General features: G+C 39.6%; 1 protein-coding gene across 19 annotated transcripts in view; it reads left to right on the forward strand.

Annotated features, from left to right (window-relative positions):
- NPAS3 (neuronal PAS domain protein 3) overlaps positions 1-27,903 on the forward strand; it is an 869,389-nt gene that overhangs the window by 799,675 nt on the left and 41,811 nt on the right. For all 19 annotated transcript variants that reach the window (XM_017021582.2, XM_017021583.2, XM_047431678.1 and 16 more), the window contains one exon: positions 755-873. In XM_017021582.2, coding sequence (XP_016877071.1) covers positions 755-873 — 119 coding nt within the window. The remainder of the gene's footprint in view (positions 1-754; positions 874-27,903) is intronic.

The raw sequence follows: 27,903 nt of genomic DNA on the forward strand, positions 1-27,903 counted from the left end.
AAAAGGAAAGAGTGACTATCTTGTTTAAGAGAGAAAATCATTATTTCCTCATATCAGAAGCAGAGAGGTGGAAAAACAGACTGTTTCCTGTTTGGAGGGTTGGGGTTGAAAGCTGCTGTAAAGTGACAGGAATGGAAAGTTGGTATCGTGAGTAGTTTCTGTTTCTGTCTATACATCCCATTCTTATCCCTCCATGTCTTATTTATGCTTCTTACTCCCCATGATGAAGAAAACCAGCTCCGAGGGGTGAGGACATTGGTCAGGACATGACTCTTCCACCTTGATAGTAGATCCCAAACTCCCAGTAGGCAAATGGCACAAGAATGGATTATCGGGGAGAACAAAGAGCAAGCCTTCCTTACCCTTTATCAGAAGCATCTCTGCCTGTACCTTAGTTGACCTCATAAATCTACGGGTCCTTGTCTTTCATGACAGTTCTCTCCATGTGCACCAGCCCAGCCTCAAGTAAACTGCAGTTACTTATGACGAGACCCCACTTAGGCAGCTGCTGGAAGTAAAAAGGCCTGAAAAGCTCTTGTTAGAAACTGGAACGAGGTGACTCTAGATACATTAATTTTTCTTTTTTATTTTCCGCAAAGTAAACATTTTCTAAATGAGGTAAATTGATTACTACTGCTCTTAGCACCCATCAGTCATTTATTTTTAGTGAACTCAAGGATTGCACCTGAGCTGTAGCTGTGAGGGGCTGTGTCAAGATCTAAATCGTGTGTGTCTGTATTTTTGTATTCCTCAGTGGAGTCAACCAGCCCCAGTCTGCTAACCACTGACAACACTCTTGAGCGTTCCTTTTTCATCCGAATGAAATCTACTCTGACCAAACGCGGTGTGCACATCAAATCATCAGGATATAAGGTAAGCCGGTTCCGGGAGGGGAGACATTGCTGTCTCAGGCCAGTCCTAGGTAATTTGCATTGAATTTTCCAGCTGCTTTAGGTCCATATAATGAATACATGTGATCTTGAGGAGCCCATAGGATTCCCAGTCATCTTCCTGTCTCAAGGCAGGAGCTTCTTTACACCTCTCCTTCTCACTTCAGACATTGCTGGTGCACTAAAAACCCCAATATAGTGTCTTTTCTTAACACATTGATTAAAAATATGCCAAGTGCTTCAGCACCTGCTGGAAATTCACTTTAATGGAGAAGGTGAGCCAATTTCATATCAGTCCTCAAGACGAGTGCTCTAGGACTGCTACTTAGGAGAGTTCCACTTCTCTCGCTTTCCCCTTCAAATTCTCCCTTTCTCTTTACAGAAAGGCTGTCCGTTTTAATAACATCTTAGCCACCGAGATTTGTACACATAGACGAGAAAATCAGTTGGGATATTAGAAACCTGAATTTCAAAACTGTATTTATGGAACGTGCAGTCACACCTTAGCATTCATAGAATACTCGATATACGTAAGTTCCTCACAAGCAAAGACCAAGTCCACAGTCAAAATCTACATTATCATCATTTTAAGGTTAAGGATATAAAAGCCTTCAAATCTCAGGAAATTCCAATGTTTCAGTTACTATAGCAACGTAAATTAAGACCTATGAAATTCATGAAATGCCTTTGGCAACCGGAATCTTATCAATTTTACAACACACTAACCAATCTCAAACAATATTGATTATCTGTGGGAGGGCAAACGGAAATGGCATGTGCCATCAATGTGGCCAGCCGTTGTGACCTTCCCCAGCTTTAGAATTTAGAACTTCTGATAGTTCAGTTCTTTAAGGCGACTGCTGTGTTATCGCGGATGGTAACAGCCAGTATCATTAGGCCTTCAAAACCTTACCTAAGCCATCAGGAGACTAGCAGCTGTATAGAAGTCAGAGTCAGGCACTTTCTTTGATATTAATTCTTCAGAAAAACAAGAGAGGTGGGAAAGCAGATCCTTCCAAGAAAGACCTTTAGCTGAGCTGTCCTGGAGTCTAAAAGGCACAAGTGGAGCCTCCTTAACCTTTAGCAGGTGCGATGCAGAGGAGAGGCAAGTGGGCAGCTCCACCTGCTCTAGCTCTACCCGATAGAGGCTTCTTACAAAGGAGTGTGTTCAGGGAAAGAAAACAGACCCTATCCTTAGGACCATTTTCTATTGCCCTGCCTTGCTGCATTCATTAGCTAACTATGTAGCCTTAGCAAGTTTGGAGTTCTATAAGCAGACCACAGATGTTGAGATTCTTGTTATTTTAATGCTAGAAAGACACATTCTTTGCATTTCAGATTTTAGGAACCATGGGGCTTCCTTTCTGTTTTCTGTCTCTCGGCATTCTTTCTTCACCTTTATTCATTTTTACTGGTTTGGAGGGGCACATCCCAGGAGGGAAGAAGGGTGCCAGGAGTGAGATATAGTTTCAAAAAGCAATATTAAGTATAATTCAATATTATTTGATAATTTAATGTTGATTAAAATTTTTTTCATACCACAAACTAGAGATCATAAAGTAATGATAGCTAAAATTAATAACAGCCAGTATTTAAGAACACGGCAATATGCTGGGCATGATATAGTTCACATGTGTTAGCCCTTACAACATTCCTAAAGTGTTTTTGTTTCCATTTTACAGACAAAGAAACTAAGGATAGAAAACTAATTAGCATTCTCAATGTCACACGTTGAAGGTGCAGAGCCAGGGTTTGAACCTGGGGAGTCCAGCTCCATACCACATGCACTTCACCACTAGGCTATACTGCTATGCAGATAGCAAAGAAAGTGTGAGGGGGTGGCTGATGAGGGCAGGAGGCCACTTTAAATAGGAAGATTATAAAAGGTCACGCTGAGGAGGCGGGATGTCACCTATGAGTGGTAAATGAGAAGGGACCATCATGCAAACAAATGGAAGAAAGATGTTTCTGAAGCAACTTGGGCTTAGGATTAAAGATGCTTTGCAGTAAGAATGGGCCTTCCAGAAACAAAAGACGTAAAAGTGCAACCTTGAACATCCAGGATTGGAAAAGATTTAGGAGCTATTCCAGATCCCATCGAATCATGCAATGTTAAAGTGACCATACTCCCCTGACATACCCTGTCAGCAGGTCTTTCTCAAGATACCATGAGAGTCTCCAGCCGATGCCCTACTCTCTTCCCCAGAACTACTACCAACAAAAGTTGATTCATCCTCTGTTCCCCAGTAAGATGAATCATCCAGCAGATCCAGCTCTTCCTCTCCTCCTCCTCATCTGCAGTGAACTTCCCTCATTAATTAACTTTGTCTGAAAGTTAGTGGAAGAGCTGAGGAGAGCCCATGGCATGACACAGCTGAATAACATCCCTATTTATCTGTTCATTCTCAGTGAGTAAATCTAGCAGCTTATAAAACATTCCAATAAAACTGGTAATCACCCCACCACCACACAATAAACACAAATAAAAAGAAACAGTGATAATCATTTCTCTGTACTCCCAATATTCCCCCTAATTTATGACCATTGTATGCATCTTTTCCCATAAAGATCCTAAGATGTCAAGCTTTGCTCAGTGCAGGCCACTATATTTCTGTCCGTTTTTCTTGTGATCTTGGCACATGGACCTTTGTAACTTTCTCCATCACTTTATCTGTTGTTGTCGTCATAGGAACAAAAGTACCACTTACTGAACATTGACTGCGTGGCAGCCACTGTGCCACATGCTTCACAGTTATTTAATCCACACAACAGGATTATTTGAAATCCTCCTCTATGCCAGGCATGGTCCAAATGTTATATTCTATTATTATGCCCATTTTGCAGGTGATGAAACTGAGGTCTTAATAGGTGAAATACTTTGCCCATTTTCATACAGCCCTTAAGTAGCTACTGAAGCACCAGAATCGAATCCTCCAAGGCTGTCCGCTTGGCCCCTCTGCTTCACTGCTTAAAGGATTAAGTCCCAAGAATGGCTCAGCATGAGCTGACCTCAACATATGAAAAAGTAATTAACTTAAATTTTTAAAAGAAAAACTTCTTGCCTGATTGAGACCTTCCCTCTGGGGCTCACCGTATCCCACTGCACTAGTGTATCGGTGCTTGGTGATCCCAATGCCCCCAAGGAGTTACAGAGATGTACTTCTTTTCCAGGACTCCATGCCTACTCACATTCCCCATCACCAAGAATTCTAGCCAAGGAAATACCAACCTGCATCTGCTAATGTGAGTTGCTGTTGCAGTGTCTGCCACACCCCCTTCCTCAGGAAAGTCGCCCTCTCTCCAGTGAAGTTTCCCAAATATGAGCTGACATTCAGTTGTTTCTGTCCTCATTTGCTTTGAAATCCACAGTAGCATGTTATCCGGACCAGCCACTTTTTATGCCTCAGGGGCTTCCCTGTTGTTTAGGCCTCACTGTTAGTCACATAGCATAGCACAGCTCTCATTTAAATTGCACTGCACATAGATTCTGCCTTCTTGATTAGGTCTATGTCTGGGGGAACTTGCTAGGTATAGCGCATGGGGTAAAAGAAGATATGTAATCAGGGAAATTAGAGAAGGGAAGACTAATTGGGTCGCCTCCTTAGCTCCGTCTTTGGAGGATAGTTTCCTTTGGCATGGGACTTTCAGTTTTCTGATCTCTTCTGAAATGCCTACCAGCTCCACTGTCATTTCCGAAGTATTTATCCACACACATTATGATGTCCTCATTCTAATGGCACAGTAGACAGCCTAGACTGGCAAACGTAGGCAAACGGAGAAAAGCTGTCATGTTTATATAATGCTCGGAGTGTCTTCAAACTCTTCACAGTGGTGAAATCTTCAGATACTGGAGTTCCTGCTATGACATACGCAAACATATTACTAAGGGAGGGAGGATGCAAGAACTCAAGATTCTTCAAAATAGTCCCCCATCTGGGATGATTTGGGCATGGATTTACCTGTAGCTAGGTACTAAACTAAATGACTTCTGAAATCCTACCCAGCCTCCTTTATGATATAAAGAATTCTAAAGAAATAATAATTGGTAGTTTCACTAGTTTATTAGGATCGCTCATATACTCTAGCTTTAAGAATATCTGCATCTAAACATGAAGTTACAAAATTAACGAGAAGGTGCTAATTAGCTAAGGAAAATTATTTTGCCTTCTCTAAGCCCAAACATAGGTGTCTCTTAAATTAGAAACTTCTCTTGTTACTAGAACTTCATAGTTGCATATGCTCTGTGGAATAAGGTGCACATGAAATTTTAACAGATTTGTTTTATTTGGAGTATCATAGAGCCCTTTAAAGATTTGATAAAATCTATAGAGCCTCTCCCAAGGTAAGTTCATTTTGCATCATTTTATCCATTGATTGCAGGTTACAAAACCCTATTTAACAGTATGATATCTTCAGCACTTATTAAGAAACCAAGTTAGTGCATCTTCCAGAACATATTCCGTCAGTATCACAATAGTCCTTTCCTTCCTCCTCATTTCTCCCTCCCATTTATCCATCCAGTGTTGATACATATTGAAGTCCTATACCTTTCTGCCACACTTTCACCTGGAAAACTCTTACTCAACCAGTATGGCCCCACTCAAATATCACTTATTTTTTCATTTCCCCTAATGCATATAAGTAAAGTTATCCCTTCTCTTCTGTGCTAAATAGCATTTTGAGATTTTACTTACATTCTCTGTGCCTCATTTTCTTACCTGTAAAATGAAGCTATTAATAGTACCTAAACCAAAGAATTTTCCTACAGATAAAGTGAGATAACACAGGCTCAGCTAGGCATCTTTTTTCCATTTTATGATGTACTTTCATATAATATCATCTGAACTTCACAATAATCATTTTAGAAAATTATCTGTTTCCTCAATTTTGAAGATAAGTAAAATGGAGGCATAGAAATACAAATTGACTTATCTAAAGTCAGATAAATGGTAAATGGCAAGACTGAGAAATATCCAGATCTTCTGATTTCAAAAGCCTTCTTTCCAATACCCAACATTGGATACTAGGTACTTTGTTATCCTGTTTTCTTCCCTCAGCACCTAGCACAGTATGCTGCACATAGTTGTCACTCAATAAATGTTGATTTAATTGAATTGCATGCTCTCTTTCCGATATACCAATGAAAACTGTTGACAGTACCAAGCCCTATGGCATACCACTAGAGATCCTGCTAGTTGACATCAGTGTCTTTTACATGTGACTGTTGGAATAGCTATGAACCCAAACGATTGTACCGTGATCTGGCTCACATTTCTCCATTTTGCCTACAAGGATATTGCAAATCTTTATCGGTGCTTTACTAAAACTGAAACATACTGGGTCCATAGTGTTCCTTTTAGCCATCAGTTGAAGATTCCATTCAGAAAATGAGAAATGAGTCATGTTAGCATCACTTATTTATCATGACTTCATGCTAGCCTGTGGTGATCACAATTTTTTGTTAAAATATCTTTCGATAATTTTTTTTTCTGAATATAAACATTTCGGGCCTCTCTCTTTCTGAAAATTAGGATAATACTTGCCAATATCCTGTCTTCTGGAAAAACTCCATGATTTCTCAGGGATTGCTAAGAATATGTGACATATTATAATAAGAATGCTGATTCTTATGGAGTTTTAATTATACCAGGAAAAGTATAGCCTGGAGGTATGCCCAGCACTAATGTAGGGAGCAATGTGGTAGTGGTCCTTCTCTGGACATTTCTAAGAGCATACACTGAACTCATCAGCTAGGAGTCTCCTCCTGCTCCCAGACAAGTGTGGATGGACTAGATGCCACCTGGATGTTTCTTCCTTATCTGAGATTCAGAGTTGTTCCAGGTGTCCAGACATACCAATGCTTCTCCTAAAGCCTTTTGCTTCAGCTTTGTGTTGTCGTGAAATGATGACTACGGCATTCCAAGTTGTGCAAAATGTAACTGTCTTGTCAAATCAATAGGTGAATTTTCAGAGACCAAAAATTCTGTCAACCCATTCAGAGTTTCTAAGGCTATGCATTTATTGCCTTTCAATCAACCCAGACACCCAAGATAAATTGAAGGAGAAAAAATTTCCAGGGTGGAACTTACAGGCAGAGGTTATCCTGATGAAAAATGCAAATAGAGGAGAGAACCAATAAAATCAAATTTTTTAAATCCTTTTACCTCGTTTTAGTCTCTGCTGACCTCTGCACAATTGTCCATTACAACGTGGTTTCCAGTGTCATTTTAAATACAGCCGGCATTGTTTCTGATCTTAAAGAATTTATTTCCCATTACCAAGGCATGACAGTAGTTCCAGCTTGGGATATGTCATTTCTGCTGGGACTAATCAGCTAGCTATTTTACCAACTAGAGGCATAATCACTAGCCATTCTGGGAAGTGTCTTTAAATTCTAAGTATGTCAGTGACTGCAGCCCAAGTATGTTGCTAACTTAAAGATCCTTCATTTTCCGCTACAGAGATTTCAGGAAGCAGGTAGGGGAGGTAACAGCATCTCTTCTCTGACTAATGCTGTATCTTTTCAGATCAGTTTTCTGAGCCTTTGCTAGCTATGAATAACAAAAGTGATGATCACTTTGAAAATGACACACATATGTATATGTATGTACATATACATACATAAAAAAGTAACAAACTTTCCTATATATAATGTCTTTTAACCAACTATTGCTCCTAAAAGTTATTGTTAATGCCTCTGTAAATACCTTCTCAACCTAATAGATTTATTTATATAATTATCACTATTATGAGACTTTGGCCTATTACAATGAGTTGTAAAGCAGACCTAAGAACTAAAAAACAAACGCAAGCACAGGTCATTTTTCTTCAGGCTTTGCACTCTTTAACATGCTGAGATGCCCTAACAATAGCTGCAGACACCCCACATTTCTGTTTCACTAAAGTAATCTCTTGACCTGGTGGTCTGAAATAGCAGTTACTAAACTCTTTACAGAAATCGAAGGTTTCCAGATACAGGCATATCTTGGAGATACTGTGGGTTTGGTTCCGACCACGACAATAAAACAAACGTGGGAATAAATGAGTCACATGAATTTTTTGGTTTCCCAGTGCAGATAAAAGTTAGGTTTATACTGTAGTCTATTAAGTGTACAACAGCATTATTTCTAAAAATGAATGTGCATATCTTAATTTAACAATAATTTATTGCTAAGAACTGCTAACAATCATCTGAGCCTTCAGCAAAGTTTTTGCTGGTAGAGGGTCTTGGCTCCATGTGGATGGCTGCTGACTGATCAGGGTGGTGGTTGCTGAAGGTTGGGGTGGCTGTGGCAGGTTTTATAAATAAGACAACAATGAAGTTTGTCACGTAGATTGATTCTTCCTTTCATGAAGATTTCTCTGTAACATGCAATGATGTTTGATAATATTTTTCCTACAGTAGAACTTTCAAAACTGAAGTCAAGCTTTTCAAACCCTTATCAATTAACTTTATAGAATATTCTAAATCCTTTGTTATTTCAGCAATGGCCATGGCATCTTCACCAAGAGTAAGTTCCATCTCAAGAAACCACTTTCTTTGTTCATCCATAAGAAGCAGCTACTCATCCATTTAAGTTTCATCACGAGACTACAGCAATTCAGTCACATCCTCAAGCTCTACTTCTGATTCTAATTCTCTTGCCATTTCCTTCATATATGCAGTTCTTCCCTCCACTGAAGTCTTGAGCACCTCAAAGTCATCCATAAGGGTTAGAATACACTTCAAACTCCTGTTCATGTGACCTCTTCCCATGAATCACAAATGTTCTTAATGGCATTTTGAATGGTGAATGCTTTCCAGAGGGTTTTCAATTTTCTTTGCCCAGATTCATCAGAGGAAGCACTATCTATGGCAGCTATAGCCTTACAAAACATGGTTTCTAAGTAATAAGACTTGAAAGTCAAAATTACTCTTTAATCTATGGGTTGCAGTATGGATATTGTGTTAGCAGGCATGTTTACAACACTGACCCCCCTGTATGTTGCCATTAGAGTTCTTGGATGACTAGGTGCATTGTCAGTGAACAGTAATATTTTGAAAGGAGTATTTTTTTCTGAACAGTAGGTCTCAACAGTGGGCTTAAAATATTCAGTAAACCATGATAATATACAGATGTGCTGTCATCCAGGCTTTATTGTTCTATTTCTAAAGCATAGACAGACTAGATTTAGCATAATTCTTAAAAGCATAATTCTTAAGAGCCCTAGGATTTCCAGAATAAGTGAGCATTGGCTTCAACTTAAAGTCACCAGCTTCATTAGCTCCTTACAAGAAAATCCACCTATCCTTTAAAGCTAAACATTGATGACTTCTCTCTAGCTATGAAAATCCTAGATGGCATCTTCTTCCAACAGAAGGCTGTTTTGTATCCATTAACAATCTGTTGTTTAATGTAGTTACCTTCATCAATGATCTTAGCTAGATCTTCTGAAGAATTTGCTGCAGCTTCTACACCAGCACTTGCTTCATCTTGCACTTTTATGTTATGGAGATGGCTTCTTTCCTCAAACCTCATGAATCAGCCTCTGCTAGCTTCCACTGTTTCTTCTGCAACTTCTTCATATCTCTCAGCCTTCATAGAATTGAAGAGAGATAAAAGGTCTTGCTCTGGATTAGGCTTTGGCATTATGGCTGGTTTGGTCTTCTATCCAGAACACTAGAACTTTCTCCCTAACAGCAGTAAGGCTGTTTTACTTTCTTATCATTTGTTTGTTCACTAGAGTAGCACTTTTATTTTCTTTCAAGAACTTTTCCTTTGCATTCACTGGTTGGCTAACTGGCACCAAGAGGCTTTTGGCCAATCTCAGCTTTCAATATGCCTTATTCACTAAGCTTCATCATTTCTAGCTTTTGATTTAAAGTTAGAGATGTGCAACTCTTCCTTTCACATGAACACTTAAAGGCCATGCTAGGGTTATTAATTAGCCTAATTTCAATATTGTTATGTCACAGGGAATAAGGAGGCCTGAGGAGAGGGAGAGAGACTGGGGAACAGCTGGTCATTGGAGCAGTCAGAACACACACAACATTTATCAATTAAGTTCACCTCTTATTTGGACCATGATTTGTGGCACCCCAAAACAATTATAACAGTAATATCAAAGATCGCTGATCACAGATCACTATAACAGGTATACTAATAATGAACTTTGGGCCAGGCATGGTGGCTCACACCTGTAATCCCGGCATTCTGGGAGGCGAAGGTGGGAGGATCGCTTGAGCTCAGGAGTTCAAGACCAGCCTGAGCAACATGGCGAAACCTTGTCTCTACCAAATATACAAAAAAATTAGCCAGGCATAGTGGTGCCTGCCTGTGGTCTCAGCTACTCAGGAGGCTGAGGCAGGAGGACTGCTTGAGCCCAGGAGGCAGAAGTTGCAGTGTGCTGAGATTGCGCCACTGCACTCCAGCCTGGACAACAGAGTGAGACCCCATCCCAAAAAAGCAAATAATAATAATAATAATAATGAAGTTTGAAATATTGTAAGAATTACCAAAATGTGATGCAGAGATGAAGTGAGCACATGCTATTGGAAAAATGGCAGCAATGAACTTGTTTGAAGCAGGGTTGCCACAAATCTTCAATTTGTATAAAGCACAGTATCTAGACCGTGTGCAGTGGCTCACACCTGTAATCCCAGCACTTTGGGAGGCTGAGGCAAGAGGATTGCTTGAGCCCAGGCATTCAAGACCAATCTGGGCAAAACAGCAAGACCCCCTCTCTACAAAAATACAAAAATAAAAATACTTAGCCAGGCATGGTGGCACACTCCTATAGTCCTAGCTACTTAAGAGGCTGAGGCAGGAGGATCGCTCAAGCCCAGGAGTTCGAGGCTGCAGTGAGCCATGACCGTGCCACTGCACTCCAGCCTAGGTGACAGAGCCAGACCAGAGAAGAACCACAGTATCTGGGAAGTGCAATAATGTGAAACACGATAAAACAGGAAACAAGGAATGTATGTTACCGTTTGACCTTTATTATCTCAAAATTACTCTACTGAAGAGTGATAACCAGAGCAGCTGTGACATCAGACAGCTGAGGATTTGGACTTAGTCCTGCATTCCTGGGTCTGTGACTTTTATTTAACTTCTTTAAGCATCTGGATTTTTTATTGTAAAATGAGAGTACCAATACAACCGTCTTCATAAGGCTATTGTGAAATAAAATGAGATGAAGGTAAAGTGCTTACCACAATGCCTGGCCCATAGTGAACACATACAATCCATGTCTACATGTGAAATTTCATGTATAGAGGTGAATCTAGACTATACAAAACCTTAATTTCTACACCTCTGCAGATGCACCTGTACCTATGAAAAGTAGTAATTCATCAGTAATATTTCAGATTATCTCCTGGAAGTTATATGAGCTCTAGAATAATAAATGATTTCTTCCAAATATAGAAAATGCATTTATTTCTGGGAAATTTCTTCTTGCTTAAGTGTCCTGAATATTGATTTGATTATAAGGGACAAAATATGACTGAAATACGTCATCTGTTCCTTTAACAAAAGAAGCACATACCAAATGGTTTTCTTTGGGATTGATTTAGCATCATGGGAAGACTAATATAGCCCTTAATGCAAGAAATGAAGTAGGGAAAGGACCAATTTGAGGTTGTTGATCTCTGGAATAAATGGAGTTTCTAAGCCTCCTATATAGCCCGTAAGTCTCCATTGTTTGATTAGAGCATCTATATCCCAGAAACTGAACCTGCGGGGAAGGCAAACTGCCCCTGTGGCTTGAACCCTGCTGCACCTGAGAGGTAGTATGCAACATTCCTTAGGGGATTCTATTGACTCATTCTTTTTTATTTTATTTTATTTATTTATTTATTTATTTATTTATTTTTTTGAGATGGAGTCTTTCTCTGTTGCCCAGGCTGGAGTGCAGTGGCACGATCTCAGCTCACTGCAACCTCTGCTTCCCGGGTTCAAGCGATTCTCCTGCCTCAGCCTCCTGAGTAGCTGGGATTACAGATGCCTGCCACCATGCCCGGCTAGTTTTTGTGTTTTTAGTAGAGATGGGGTTTCACCATGTTGGCCAGGCTGGTCTCAAACTCCTGACCTCATGATCCGCCCACCTCGGCCTCCCAAAGTGCTAGGATTACAGACGTGAGCCACCACACCCGGCCCTCTACTGACTCATTCTTTTTTTTTTTTTATGATGTATTTATTAATAAACTTATAGTTAAATATATTTGTAACACTATTATTCTAAATAAGATTTAAGACTGTTTATATGTGTAAGATGCTTTACAAAATATGGTTGCACACAGCAACTCTGTGAGACATGTATTATCACTCTCATTCTGCAAGAGAAATTACCGAGAATTAGAAAGGTTAAGTAACTGGTGTAAGAATAAACAGTAGGTGAAAAAACATATATTTCTTTTTTTATTATTATTATACTTTAAGTTTTAGGGTACATGTGCACATTGTGCAGGTTAGTTACATATGTATACATGTGCCATGCCGGTGTGCTGCACCCACTAACTCGTCATCTAGCATTAGGTATATCTCCCAATGCTATCCCTCCCCCGTCCCCCCACCCCACCACAGTCCCCAGAGTGTGATATTCCCCTTCCTGTGTCCATGTGATCTCATTGTTCAATTCCCACCTATGAGTGAGAATATGCAGTGTTTGGTTTTTTGTTCCATTGTGGAAGTCAGTGTGGCAATTCCTCAGGGATCTAGAACTAGAAATACCATTTGACCCAGCCATCCCATTACTGGGTATATACCCAAATGACTATAAATCATGCTGCTATAAAGACACATGCACACGTATGTTTACTGCAGCATTATTCACAATAGCAAAGACTTGGAACCAACCCAAATGTCCAACAATGATAGACTGGATTAAGAAAATGTGGCACATAGACACCACGGAATACTAGGCAGCCATAAAAAATGATGAGTTCATGTCCTTTGTAGGGACATGGATGAAATTGGAAATCATCATTCTCAGTAAACTATCGCAAGAACAAAAAACCAAACACTGCATATTCTACTGACTCATTCTAAGTAAAAGAAGAGAGCCAGGAATCTGGAGCTGATAGCTCCGTTGTAGTGACTTTCCAGGGCACAAGGGACCAATTTTATCTGTCCCATCCCTCTAGGGATGCCCCCCATCCCACCATCAAATGAAAAGAGTGACCTCATCACAATGTGATTTGAGTAATAAGACTCTTACAAACAAAAGAATCATCTGTGTAATCAAATTCTCAATCATCTGTAGTTACATCTAGGGAAGAAGCTTTGGGCTGCTGCCTGGGCAGGTGTGTGTCTTTTATTTGAACTACCAGTGAGCAATGGATATCTCTAAGTGGCCATGTTGGAAACATCACCTTTGGCTCATAGTTGGGCAATTGTCTATGGAAACAAAAGTTATCCCTTGACTTACAGCAGCATTTACATATCCCTTCTATCAGGGCTTTCACATCTGCTTTTTATTCTCTCTAAAGTATATATTGTCCTGAGATATTCCCATGGGTCACACCTGCATTTCACTTCGATTTCTGCTGAAACATCACTTTCCTCACCTCCCCATCTACAATATATCAAGTGTTCCTTCTGCACCCCATCATCTGCTTTATCCTGCTCCTTACTGTTCTTCATCACACTTAACACAACCTGACACTGTTTTATACATGTATTTGTACATAGTTTTCCTCTCCTACTACAGTATAACAGGAAATTCCTAGAACAGTTTCAGGCACACAGTAGAAATTCAATATAAACATTTGTTTTTTAAAAAATGAATTAATTTATAAATATTAGACATGATTTGTACTAAGCCAGAACATATTTCTTCCTTGGGTCAGTGTTCTACATCTTCCTTGAGTCAGTGTTCTAGTCCCTTTAAAAGAAGTTTAGAGATGAGAATATGTAGCCAATGGAATTATACAAGTTTTTTAGTATTGGGGCCCTGATGATAAGGATAAGATGATACTATAACTTTTCTTTTTAAAAAGCCTATACTAATGGTTGACACATTCTATGACATATTTTTCATGCTATCATATTCAGTTTTTTAAAAATCAACGTGTATTTAACTTGTACCCCACTTGTACCCAATTCTAGGGGCTAGAGCTCTGGAAGTACAGTCAAGAGATACTTGATTATTACTTGGTAGTTTTGAATATATTTAACAGTCCTCAACAGCCCCTTGTCAAATGTCCTTCAAACTCATGATTCCTTGTAGAAGTCATGAAAAACAGAGTGCCTTAATAGGGGCACACCTGGTGGGGAGAGTCAAAAAATTTCATCCCACTACCAGCACTTTGCTTCTTACTTGCTCTGCAATGTCGGACAAACAGCCTGATTATCTGGGCCTCTATTTCCTTGATGAAAACAAAGCGAACAATTGACTTTGATGTTCATTCGTCATTGATGGTTGGCTGACAGTACCTACCCTTGAGCTTCACCCTGTGCATTAGTGCTTTAGCCCCTTTGAGACATTCTGGGTAAAATGGAATAGAGGATTGGCCTTCCCAGGAACAGCCCCTGATTTCTGGGAAGAGGGGAATTAAAGTCTGCCCAGAAGTTCCCAAAGGGTCATTCAGAGTCACCAAGAACTGTCATATTGCCTCGTGGTCAAGGCTAGTTTGAGAATCTGAAATATTCTAGGAAACATTTAACCAAATGAACGCCATGAGGGAAAAGAGGTCTGGGAAGGATTTTGTAATTTTTAGGGAGGGGTCAGTGAACTTTTGCACCTTGTTCTTAGAGAGACTATGGATGGACTAAAACCAACCAGTCTCAGAAATTAATCTATATCCTCAACTGAAGACAAAAAGTAATAGTGATTAGAGAGAAATACTCCTTTGCCTCATTCCATAAACAGTGGCAAATTTCTTTTCCTCACTAACTTTAAACACAATATAGATTCACCCCTCTGTTTATGCCAAATAACACACAGCATCATGTTCTTTTTAAAGTTATCTATCTTCTTTAATTATTTGCAGTTGGCTTATTGGTGAATACCTAGGCCAGTGTTGTCTGAAATGGGTGTACGTTTCCAGTTTTAGGGACCTGAAATGTTTAACCTGCCTAGAATAGCCCCATAGGCAGTTGAGTCTTGGGTAAATGCTCTTCTGTGATGAGTGAAATTAACAATATTATAATTGTCAAACTCCTCAAAGAAAAATATAATAGGAATGTAAAATATTCTTGAATGTTTTATTATGAATTACTATCTTCTCTATGAAGTGTGTCTTTTCTTTATACTGAAATGATATAGAGAGTGATGCAATTTGCCCAACAACTCATAGTGGCCAGACCCCAAGCCCCTTGGCACAGCGGAGGACTGTTAAGCTCTGTGGATTTGATCTCTAGGACAAAAAGGTGGCACTGCGTAGCACCTCCAGGTTCTCATGCACTCCGAGAACCCTGAAGTAGACACAGATTGATGCAGAGCACTCAGTAAGTGAAAAAGGGAGTGAAGCCCAGAACCAACACACCATACCATCACTGTCCCACAGAGTGCTGACAGATTGCAAAGCCTAGAGAGGCCATTGTCCAATCTTCCTCTCCACACAGTGGTCCTCTTCTTGGGGAAAACATCAGTGGAGATGTGTCACAAGAGCCCAGGAAACACTTTGGCCCCCAAAGAATCTTTTCTCTCTTGGATTCATAAATCACACATCTTAATCATGCCATCCAGTCCTAAAAAATTTTTTAAGGATGGTACTCTGCTAGTGAAAATTCATAGGCACCTGCTCTTGATTTACTTCCTGCTTAGAAAAAAAATTTATACAGCTGTGATATTGCAGAGTGACTCCATTCAAAGTACCAAACAGTGAGGCGTTGTCAAGAAGGGATATGTTGGATGCTTGGGTTATGATGATTTCAGCTATTCCTTTTTTTTTTTTTCTTACAGCATCATTAGTACTCTGTCATTCTAATAATAATAATTCCCTTTTGACATCATAGAGGTAGAAGAAATCATCACTGACATCAAAAATGAGGTGATATTTCAGCAGTATTATTTCACTGAAGATAAAATGGAGAGATTTATTACTCCCCATGCTTTTAAAGAAAGCTGAACGAGGCATATGCTGACCCTAGAGCTTATCTACTTCAGTTCCTTCCAGACTGATATGAAATAACTAATTTTACGTATTCTAACTAGAGTTTTAGAATGTAGTTTTTTTCCCCAAAGCTTTGTTTACATCTACATAGTGGAAAGTTTTTTGAAAACATGCTTTCTCAGTTTGTAATAACCTGAGAAAACAAAAGAGAAGTCTAGTGTAACCAAGAATGATCTATAACTTTCATTCTTCAACACCACCCTTTGTTCAAAGTATTTAGGAATTGATTTCACTCAATCATGTGGTCAATACTGATTGTGTACCTGTTGTGTATTATACACTGTACTGGGTACTGGGAAGACAAAGATGGATAAAACAGAGTCCTTGATCCAGAGAGCAGAGTCTAGAGTTAGGCAGGCACACAAAGAAATGATAATGAGATAATGTGATATGTGCTATAATAGAGGTATGTTCCAAGGGCAACGGGATAAAGCAAATGATTCTGTCTGGTATAAAAGGAGAGGATCTCAAAGACAGCATCATGTTAACCAGCTCTTAAGGGATAGGCTCACCTACAGAGATATGAAGGAAGGGAACTCTAAACAGAGGGAATGGTATCAATAAAGAGATGAAGGCATCAAGTGTAGTGAGCAGAAAGAAATCTGGGTATCAGGAATAAAGATATCTAAGCTGAGCTGGCATATGTAGACAAGAGTAGGAACGTTCATGTGGTGTAATGCTAGCCCCATGGGCTAATCAGTGTTTGGGGTCACAAGGATGAAGATTAAGAGTGTTTCATGTCAACAAAATTTTTTGGAATCATTGTAAGAGAAAGAGCATTATTTTCTAACAAGAAGAACTTGAAGGTTGCTCTCAGCCTATTAGGTAAGGGAGTAAGTATATAGATTTAAACAAGTCATTAAATCATTCCTTTTGGAATTTTCTCCATTCGTTTTTCCTTCTACCATTCTGCCAACATGAGTGCAGGGACTTTTTCCCCTTAATCTCACATTGCTCATATAAATAGACATTTGGAGAAGAGCAATATGATCCTAGAACCAGTAACTCAAGGGAAAAAAAACTAAGACCTGTATGCATTGAAAGCTGGCATTGCAAAATGCATCAGAGATACAAAGCACTGCATAGACCTCAATCACTTAGCACTTGGTCTACACACCATTAGGTATCTAGATTATTGGAAATGTCTCTGTATTTGGTAAAATATAAGCAAAACCTACATTTCAGGCGCCCACAGTTTCCCTTGAATATACCATTTAGTAAAACCCCTGACCTTTCAAGATGATAATTATCTCTCATTAGAAAAATTTTATTTGTTCTTCAACTCACTTAATTCTGATTTTGGTTGACTATTCAGAATTTCTACTAATTATAGCAACCTTTGTAAACAGTGTTGTCTGAGTACCCAATCCCTTTGTCCCAGTAAGATCTGTGCATGTCACATCAGTTACAAGTGATCTGCGATTAAAACAACAGTTCTCAAGTGAACAGTAAGTGATGACATAAAATATGAGTTTCATAACCATGCAAATATTCAAAGTTATGTGTTTTTTAAAAAAATCAAATACAGTATATGACTACTAGATTTTCAATAGGAGCAAAATTTCACCCCTTTCTCTCCTTCTCCCCAAAAAATAAACCTTTATATTCCTGGATTGAATGATTACTTTTTAAAAAACATAATTTTCACAAAGAAAACAAAGAAAACCTCTCCCTTTCTTTCTAAATATTTTTGCAGCATCTGCATAGGCTTTACCTTTCTATAAAATATAATATGAAACTTTGGTGCTTTGTATTGCAGATCATAAGCTGAGTTGCTTTCAGCTGCTTCATTTTATTTTATTTTTTTTCTTTCTCAAACATCTTTTTCTTCTCCAGATAATCAGTGCTCTCAACTGCTCTCAAATGCACGTACTTCTGTCACCATAAAGCTAGTGTAACCCCATGGAGTACACTCCCAAGCCATGCAAGAGCCATTTAAGAGTAGATATTTTTGTTTAAGTCAGATCTCAGGATAGAAGGGGACATCATCCCCAATTGACTCTTGGCTCTTTTTCATGTGCAAAAGCTAAAAAAAAGAACTGGACCAAGTTGGGTTTGGGTGTTTGTTTGGGCTTTTTGCATGTACTAAAGCAACACAGAGCTGATGCACAATAAACAAACATGCATTATGGGTTGTTTTCAGTCACTTTATAGACATATGCATTCATAAATTTTGATACGGTTGTAAGAAGCTGACTTTGATGGGACCAAACTCACAGACGAGCTTTCGATCACTGGAGCAACCGCAGTCTAACTTTATGTTGACAATGTATCAGCCCTTCTCCGTCAAGGAAAATTGTTTTTTAGTGCTTGCCTATTAGCAATCACATGCATAATATGAAATTGAGTTTTGGGGAGGACGGCCTACCATCTGTCTTTCTGATATTTTTTTTCAATGTTTCGCGCTCAAGTTCAACTCTCTGTGTATCAGAATGCTGTAAAACAGGATTCACCCATAATATGGGCACTTAGCAAGAAAAATGGGCCAGATACCAATGTAATCTTTTAACTTACTGACTTTTAAAAAGGAAAATCATTGATGCCCCAATCTGTGCATTATCTTTTGAGTGCACTTCAAATTCTGCCTGCCTCTCAAAGCCAACTTTGGTACGGCTGATTCTTCTTAAAGAACAGTTCATTAGTGTGCTTCGAGAAGTGTTAAAACACTTTTACAAAAATAAAAATTCAAAGAGAAAGTGGAAAGCAATGTGAGGTTGGAAAATGGAGCTCTAAAGGATTGGTGTGAAGAATGAAAAAGATGTATTTAGTTTCCCTTCCATGTTCCAATATGCTAAGATTTTTATCAATAATATTGTTTTTCTGCAACAATACCTGCCTCAGGGAAAATCTGCTCTGTAGCTGTCAGGATTATACTTCTCAAAATATGCTTAAGATGATTCTGTTAAATTGATAAAAAAAAAAAAAAACGTACACTCCACAATGTAGAAGGATTGCTCAAAAGAACATTCCCAAGCCTTTCACGTGTAACTGCATTTGTGCGGCAGGGCATTTATTATGCTATAAATTCCATCACTGATTTTGGCCAGTTCAGATTGATTCTGCAGTAACTGTAAGTAATGAACCTTCCAGAGCCAAAGAGGGGAGGAAAAGAAGTAGCCAATACACTTGTGGCTGTGGGAATACAAATTGTAGGGTTCATTTAGTCACAGCTTTTAGCAGATCATGCAGCCAATACCCTACAAAGCAAGAAAATATATACCCAGAAAAATCTACAGGTTCCTTGATCTGACTTCAGCAGCTACAACAGGCAAACACTATGAGAACACTTCTTGGGGAAAGTAAGTGATCTATTTTTTCCTAAGCTTTTATTTCCCAAATTTGTTCCCTCTCATTTTTCCCTCCCACCAAAGTATGGGCAAATGTCCATGCTACAAGAGCAACAAAATATGGAGCTCTCTTTTCCTAAGTTAGCCATGCCTGAAGCTTGCCTCCCACAGTTCCCAGTGCCAGGGGCTTAAGGGACCCTCAGCACAGAAGAAGCTCCCAGGGGTTGAGATGTAGCAATCCTCTGTTCAGATGGTTGTAAAGAGGAAAATCAGTTTCCCTAGAGTGGTTGATGCCTGAGCCTATTAAGAAAATAAGGTAACCAGTGATATGAAAAGCAGGAGAAACATCCTCTTGGAGGTGCCCCGCGACCCCACTGGGGTGGCGGCTAGAGAAAGAATTGGGTGAAGGAAAGAAGCTGCATTACAGACAGACAGTGATCTGTACTTCAGTAAAGCATTGCTGTCTAATATTAGAGGGCTTTTTTCCCTGATATTCTTTAAAACTGAGCACTAAGGAAATAGGTGGGGTGTGAGGGATGGAATAAAGTGTGATTGGAATCCGGGGTATCAAAAGAGACACAGCAGAGTAAGAGCCTTTGGCCAAGAGGAGGGAGGAGAGGAATATGGAAATGGATGACATTCAAGACACATTTCACCTACTAGGGAGGCCAAGGAAGTCCTCATTCCCTTCTTCCCCAGCTCCCTCTCCTCTCTGACCTCATGTTCGTGGAATGCTTAGGAGCAGGGGAAGAATAGTGGCTGGAGTCAGCCTCAGAGTGCTGGCTCTATGGCGGTAGCATGGTCAGAGGGAGACCATGGCTTCAATGGAATGTGCAGGCAATATTTTATGACAGTCCGGGAATCTGCATCCTCATCCCCATCCCACTGAATTTCCAGAAAGACAGAGGTACAAACAGGTAATCCATCTTAGAGAACAGCACAGCATCTTTACTGTCCTTAGTCCCCAAGAACAAATACCACAAAATCTTTCAAGATTCTCTCTCTCTTCTCCCTTTCCCTCTTAAAAATCATAGAATCGTAGAGCTGAAAAGCCTGTAGACATGGTGTTTGACTATTGTGAGGTACACCTGAAAGAATAAACCATCTGGGGCCTTTCTGAAGCATCTACATTTCTCGCTGGACTGTCTGAAGTTATTTGGGGTAAATGCCATGACGTGTCTCATAGACGAGACCATGGACACAGCAGGACAAATCTTTAGATAGGGACAGTGAGAGTTAGCCAAATGGAGACACATATTGTTGTTTTGGGTAACTCAGTAGGATGCAGAGCCCTGGCCTTAGGATCAACAGATGTAGGTTTTAGTCCTCGTTTTGCCACTTGATATATATTTGACTTTGGGGAACTCATTTAGCTTGCCTAAGTCTGTTGAAAGAGGATAATAGTACCTCTCCTGAAACATCGTAGAGTTATTATGAGGTTAATGTAAGATAATATGAGTGAAAATATTCTGTAAACTCTAAGTGACTGTGAATACCCAATATTATCTTTATTGGATTATAACTGTAAAATGTAGGGTTTTAGCATTTCAGAATATATTGGCTTAGCTTATGTTTATCACAAGTAATTGACCTCCTCATTTTATTTCTATTATTGGTACATTTATTTTTGTGAAGAAAAGCCACTTTTAACAGAAGCCTTCAGATTACCCATTTTATTTCCAAAGAGGGCAAAGGCAGAAGGTATGTTCATAAAATAAAAGTAGGAAAATAGCTGAAAGTTACTACCATGACGCCATCCCTGCCGTGGGGTCTGTGAATTGCCTCGGGGGAAAGGATTATATAGGAGTGGCTATGAATCATGGCTGATGTGATTAGGCTGCACTCTAGACCGGGTGGGCGTGTGGGCCTTTCAGGACTCCTTGTCATTGTTGCTCACTTAGGTTAATGTTAAGATTAGCTGTCTGGTGTTATTTAATAATATTACTGTCTTAGGCCATTCTATGTTGCTATGAAAGAATACCAGAGGCTGGGTATTTTATGAGGGAAAGAGGCTTATTTGGCTCACGGTTTTGCAGGCTATCTAGGAAGCATGACACCTGTATCTGTTCAACTTCTGGTGAGACATCAGGCTGCTTCCACTCGTGGCAGAAGGGAAAGGGAAGCTGGCAGGTGCGGTGATGCCATGGAAAGAGAGGAAGCAAGCAAGACAGTGGGAGGTGCCAGGTCTTTAACAACCAGCTCTCCTGGGATCTAACAGAGTGAGAACTCACTCACCCCTGAGGGAGACCATTCATCTATTCATGAGGGTTCTGCCCCCATGACCCAAACACCTCCCACTAGGTCCCACCTCCAACATTGAGGATCTAATTTCAACATGAAGTTTGGTGAGGGCAAATACCCAAACCATAGCAATTATCCAACTTTGAGTTTGATTTCTTTTATTAGTGATTGAAAGCTTTATGTATCCCTCTTTGCATTGGAATAAAGTAATCATTTATCAGAGTCAGTAATGAGTAATACAGAGACCATAAGTTTCTTGAGGGAGAAAGGGTAAGAGGGCCCAGATGAGCCAAACCCACCTACTACATAGTGAATGCCCTGGACAATTTCTGGAATCCCAGTTGGGTGGATTCTTGCAGTACCCAGTTGTATTCACGAAGTAACTAACCCCCAAGAAGAATCTTACTAATATGTTTTCTAAAGGGAATCTTATATTGAAAGGTTTTTGAAGTAAAAGGGAGAACCAGACAGATTGAGACTGCTCAGATGGATCAAAATAGCAATTGGGAGTGGCAAGAGATGCAAGGCGGTCTGTGAAAGAGAGCACTGAGCTTGGAGGAATGTCAGAATTATATTTTAGCTGTGTAATCATAACCAAACACTTCATCTCTCTTAGCCTCCAGCTCCTTATTTACAGAAAGGAGATACTAATATGTGCTCTACCTACCTTAGAGGCTATTGTAAGGATTAAAAAGAAAGAAAGGAAGTTGAGAACTTTGTGAGCTTTCATGCAGTAGATAGATGTAGCATCTAAGCAGTCAGTCATCCTGTAGTCTGGTCCTACGAGGTACACAGAGAAATAAAGGATGCATTCTGTGCCATCTGAAGGAAAACAGAGAGTCAGAGACAAAGGCAGAGACAGCAAGAGAGCAATCCCTGGTAGTACATACCTAGGTGCTGATTGGGTAGCCGAGACAAAAGTAGGAATTCAAAGGGAGGAGGACAGCACTGGGCTAAAGTATCCAAGAAGAGGAAAAGGGATTTGATATCACCCTTGAAGAATGAATATTATTTCCACTGATGGTGGGGCATGGGGAAGGAATTCTTGGTCTGAAAGGTGATGTGAGAAAAGATATGGAGAAGATAAACACAAGGCAGATTCAGGAGATGCTGGACAAAGCATCTGGAGTCCAGGGAGGGAAGTCATGGAAGATAAGCCAAGTTGTCTTGGCTTGGGACTGAAGCTTGAGACTGAATGGACACAAGCTTTTCATGATGAGCTAAGTGGTCTGAATTTTATTCCAGAATCAATCAAGGCTCTTGAGTGGTGATAGTGACAATGCTGCAACTTAATATCTACATAGTGCTACACCATTTTCAAGGCGTTTTTAAATGCACCACCTCATTCCATTTTCTCAGCAATTGTGTAAGACAGGGATGAAGAGGATGGTCACTGCTGTTCAACATATGGGGAACTGAGGCTCATAGAGGTCCTGCTGCTGCTCCAAAGTTATACAGGCAAATGAGGAAGACCCTATAGCTCCTGGTCTACTTCCTTAAAGATACTCTAGGAAGATGAATCTGACAGTAAAATGCAGGATGGACCAGAGTGGGGAAGAATACGATGGGGGAAAAAATGAGAGAGACCGGTTAGGCAGCTGCCCACCCAATTGTCCAGATGTGAGATTTCAAGAATTTGTATTACAGTGATGGCACTTGGAATGGATATACCAAGAAGTAAGAAAACATTCCTAGGTCTTAATGACTGACTGGATCTGGAAAATGAGAGAAAGAGGATCAAGGATGAGCCAAGAGAAGTGATGCACTCCCCTTTTCTGCCTTTGAATGCTGATGAAATGGAAGCATTCGCAGAAATAAAGAGTGGTCCAAGGTTGAAGCCTGAGTAACCAGTTGGACACTAGTCCTACTGACATTCATTCTTTACCCTCATGTGGAGAGGCCATTCCTTTTATTCACCTTTTCATTACAGCCCTGATCACACACTTGTCAGGTCAACACAGATGGACTCTGAGCTCCTTGGTAATTATGCCTCAGTGCCTGCACAGAGCACTGCCTTATAAAGGTTAATTAAACATTGAATGAATGAATGAACGAATGAATGTTGTCACACTCCTAAATCTCAGGTGCAGTCATATAATCCTTTCTTCAGAATTCTTCTGTGGTTCCCCCTTTGTCTGTACATGAAGTCACAACTCCTTTGTACAGCATTCATAGCATTCCACAATCCAGCCTGCTTCACCTCCTCCAGCACCTCCCCACCTACTCCACTTTGTCCTCTGTCTGCACTCCTCTCCATTTCTGAACACAAAAAGCAGTTTTGTGTCTCTGTGCTTTTGCTTATAATAGTTCTCCAACCTAATACCAGTCAAATCCTACTCACCCATAGAAATTTAACTCAAATGCTGCCTCCTCCCTGAAAGGCTCGCCCTAGTGCCTTGTCAGGATGGCTCTCCTCTTTGCTACTTCTGCACGGGGCATCCCTCTGCAGGTCTCATTCAGGGCTTGGCCAATGTGTGCAACTCCTGGACAAGCTGGCCCCATAGGGCGTAGCAGAGCGTTGACTCCTATTAAGATTTTAAATAGGGGAAAAGAAAGAAAAGCGGCCAAAGAACTATTTAGGGAAGAAGGCTATGAGCTTAATTTCTGTGTCCTCTAATGAAATTTACCTCTTTCCTAGAAATTCTTCTCAATGAAAAATAATATTCATTTAAACATTGCATATTTATACAAAGGAACTGCTTTTTTTTCTCTGCCTATTAAGATGCAGGGTAGTTCTACTTTAACATCCAAGGTTTTTCTTATTCCTTACTCAGCAGAAAAAGCCTACTCAAACAAAAGGAAGAAACTGACATATTTGGATTGACAGATGTCAAGGGACACTACCATCTAATTTCCTTGTTGATTAATTTGAAGGTAATTTCCTGGTAACCCAGGCTTCCAAAAATGTATTTTAAGTGGCATGTTGGTAAAAGAAAATTAATTTCTCTGTGTTAAACTTGCCAGCTTTTGAATTAATTGCATGAGCATAACAATCAATTAATAAATGTTAAGCAAACAAGGGAAAATCGGTCAATTAAAAATGATAAAATTGATTCGAAGGGTAGATAAACCAAAAGTGTGTCATAATGCCCACTTCTGAGTTTAGATCTCCTGCCTCTGTACAATTTCCCTCCCACTTTTCTACACCACATTCAAACTGCTGATTCTTTATTATAATTTCTTATAAATAAATTACCACCTAAGCCCTCCTTGCTGCTTTATTGGCATTAAAGAAGCCAAACATACATAGCAGTCCTCCAGCAGCTATGGGGAGAAGGTCATTGCTTTGGGAAAGTGTGCCACCCACAGTACTCTGCAGAAGTGTTTTTGAAAGGGAAGCCTTTTCAAAGTGGACCAATGTTCTCTAAATATTTACCAGTACATTCTGTCAAGAGGAAGCTCAGTATATTGTCTTCTTTTCTCCTGGTCATACACTCAGATGTCTCCCAGAGATCAGGCAAAATGGGAAGTGGCAGGGCCTAGAGAGAGTGCTTGCCCCATCGCAGAGCATTCATATGAAACATTCTTAAACACAGTGCTATGTATACTTTCATATCTGGAGCTGAAGGTGACCTGGAATACATGGATTTATTCTTCAGCCCTGGATTTTGAATTTGTTTCTTCACTTGGGAAGCTAGGTGCTTTGGAAATAATGTTTTAAGAAAGTATAGGAAAAATAAAATGTATCTAGTAAAAAGAGCTTGCAGGCTGCGTAGTCTTTATAACTATAATGGAAGATTGTCATTATTTACCTGGCCTGCTACTGGTTGTCTTTAGTCCTGACTGAGTAGCGTGTTTTACCACAAAATACTTCCAATTGTCCTTTTAGACGTGGATTAAAAAGAAATCAAAGATCGCAACATGCACATCACAAATTTCTCCATTTTGCCAAGGGCATTTAGCATAATGGATATGATAAAGTTTCTAGAATGATTTTTATTTAAGCATATATAAGATTTCTGAATAAAATTGGGAAAAAATATCAAGACTTCCTTAGTACACTTAAATTTCTAAGTCCAGCTGAATCTTCACTTGAATGTTGACAATTTCTCAATCTTAAGGGTGACCAAAACAAAACCCACCCCAAGATGTTTTGCCATCCACCTGCCCTTCCCATCTCAGTAAGTGGCACCACCCCCTGGCCAAAAGCTTAAGAGTATCCTTTCATTCCACTCTTTACCTGCCACCTCACAACTAATACATCAACAAGTGCTGTCAAGTCGACCTTCACAGGGTATCCAACATCCAACTACTTGACACCATTTCTTCCTGAGCTACCATCTTCTCCCTCCTACCTGGCTTTCCCAATTTTACTCGGGGCCCCAGAGCAGCCATTTAAATCAGCCAGAGATGTTTATCAGAGCTCATCTTTCCCCCTTTATCTGTCCTTTTCATTGCTGTATCCCCAGAATCTAAAATAGCGCCTGGCAATAAATTAATCTCAAAGATACTTTGGAACGAATGAAATTATGTAGTTTGGAAGAAGTGCACAACATGATACAGGATCATTTGGACACTTCAAAAACATTATTTGACCGTGTAGAGACCAGGAAAGACTAGGACACCCACCCCTGAATGTGAGTAGTTCATACATCTGTCATTCAACTGCTCGCCTCATCCCTTCCTTCTAAAGTGTTATGGAAAAGCACATATCGTGGGTGAGTGGGGTCAGTTTGCCCATCCTGCCTAAAGCCTCTCCTTTGGGGGTTATGTCTGCCTAAACCAAACAAGTTAAAAAAAAAAAAATCAAGTGCTGATTCCAGTTATTTTAAACAGTTTCATACTTACTTGGCAATTATGATAGCACAAGTCTCTCCAATAATCAAAAGAATCATTACTTGTTTTGCTAAAATCCCAAGGAAATAGCACAATATGTAATATTTCGGCACTAATGAGGTTGTGCCTGAAGAAGTGTGATTTTAATTATGATAGATTTGGAGAATCCATTGCAAAACTGCAGGAGAACAGCATGTTGTACCAGTTCCAGGGAAAGTGCATTAATATCCCATGTTTTTGTTTTATTTAGTCATCACTGGCTGTGTGGAGAATCACCTAAGGTAATGATAGAGCTACCAAGAACTACATCAAATAGAACCCTATAAAGAAACTTTATTTTCTCCTCCCATACTATGGACAGAACGTGTACTACAGGGGAATATTTGTCTTGAGTTGTCTTACAAACTTACAAGATTGATTTGCTTGGCCACTGACAGTTTTGATCCTAACACAACTTTTCCAGCACCTTCCATCCTTCAAAGGTTGAAAGTCACCACTTAAGCACAGTGGCTCACTAAGCCTTTACACTGGCAGAGAGAGGAAAGGAGTTTCTGTAGAATTTCACTTCATTCAAAAGACTGATCTGGGTTGGGTTTGAAAGCTCTGGGTGGAAGTCTGCATATGAGCAGGGCACTGATTACTTCATTAGAACCCTGTGCACTTCAAGAGCCATATGCTTTCAAGTTTCTTTAAATGGTATTAGGGAAAAATATCCTCAAGGCATTATTTTTAAAGGGGACTTCAAACATTCCCCAGAAGAAAAAAAAAAAAAGAGTATAGCACATTTGAACTCAAGGGGGTTTCAGGAGAAATCTTACTTAGCACGACTGTGAAAATGGAACAATCTTTTCAGTTTCAGGGTAAAGTCAGCGTTGGTCACAATCAGGGATAAATTTGAAATGTGGATGGAGAAAGATGCAGAAAATCTCCAAATCCTTGAATCCTTACCATAAAATAGCAAAGAAGATGACTTGAGGAAGGAAATTTTTTAAAAATATTTTTGTTCTTACGTTCGAGGGAATAGGGAGAATTGAGTGTCTTGCACAGTGCAAAAATTGATGAATTCTTCCCATTTCATTCCACATAGAAGATCCTTGTAAAATAATTCTCCATCCCCAACTTAGGCTACATGTACTCAAACATATTTTAAAGACCCAGGAAGCCAGGCTACAGGTAGAAGTAAAGCTATTCATTTTGAGTTTTACTGCAGAAGGTCTGCTCCAGAGGTCAAATCAAAGAGATGCTTCTCCAAATTTAAACTCTTCTTTTCTAAATAGATCCCAACCTGATCTCATTTAATGCATTGATGTTTAGTTTCTTAGGCATTATAACTGCAGTATAACATACCAAAAGGACTCTTGAGAAATTCTCCCGAATTGATAATTCTAATTTCTTATGTATAACTACTCTATATTCACTCAGAGGACAACTGTATTGTATGCTAAACCATGAATCATAAAAATTGGTCCCTTTGTATGTAGGTTTGTATTAAATTGAGATGCTGTCTTTTTTTTTTCCCTGTTTGTTCCCACACTTGAGTTCCTGATGTCAGTTTGTTTTTGGCTTCTTGAGCATATTAAAGTTTTTCTAGTGCTTATGATGTTCTTGCCAA

The sequence above is a fragment of the Homo sapiens genome, chromosome 14 (assembly GCF_000001405.40).
Source record: "Homo sapiens chromosome 14, GRCh38.p14 Primary Assembly".
NCBI lineage: Eukaryota > Metazoa > Chordata > Mammalia > Primates > Hominidae > Homo > Homo sapiens.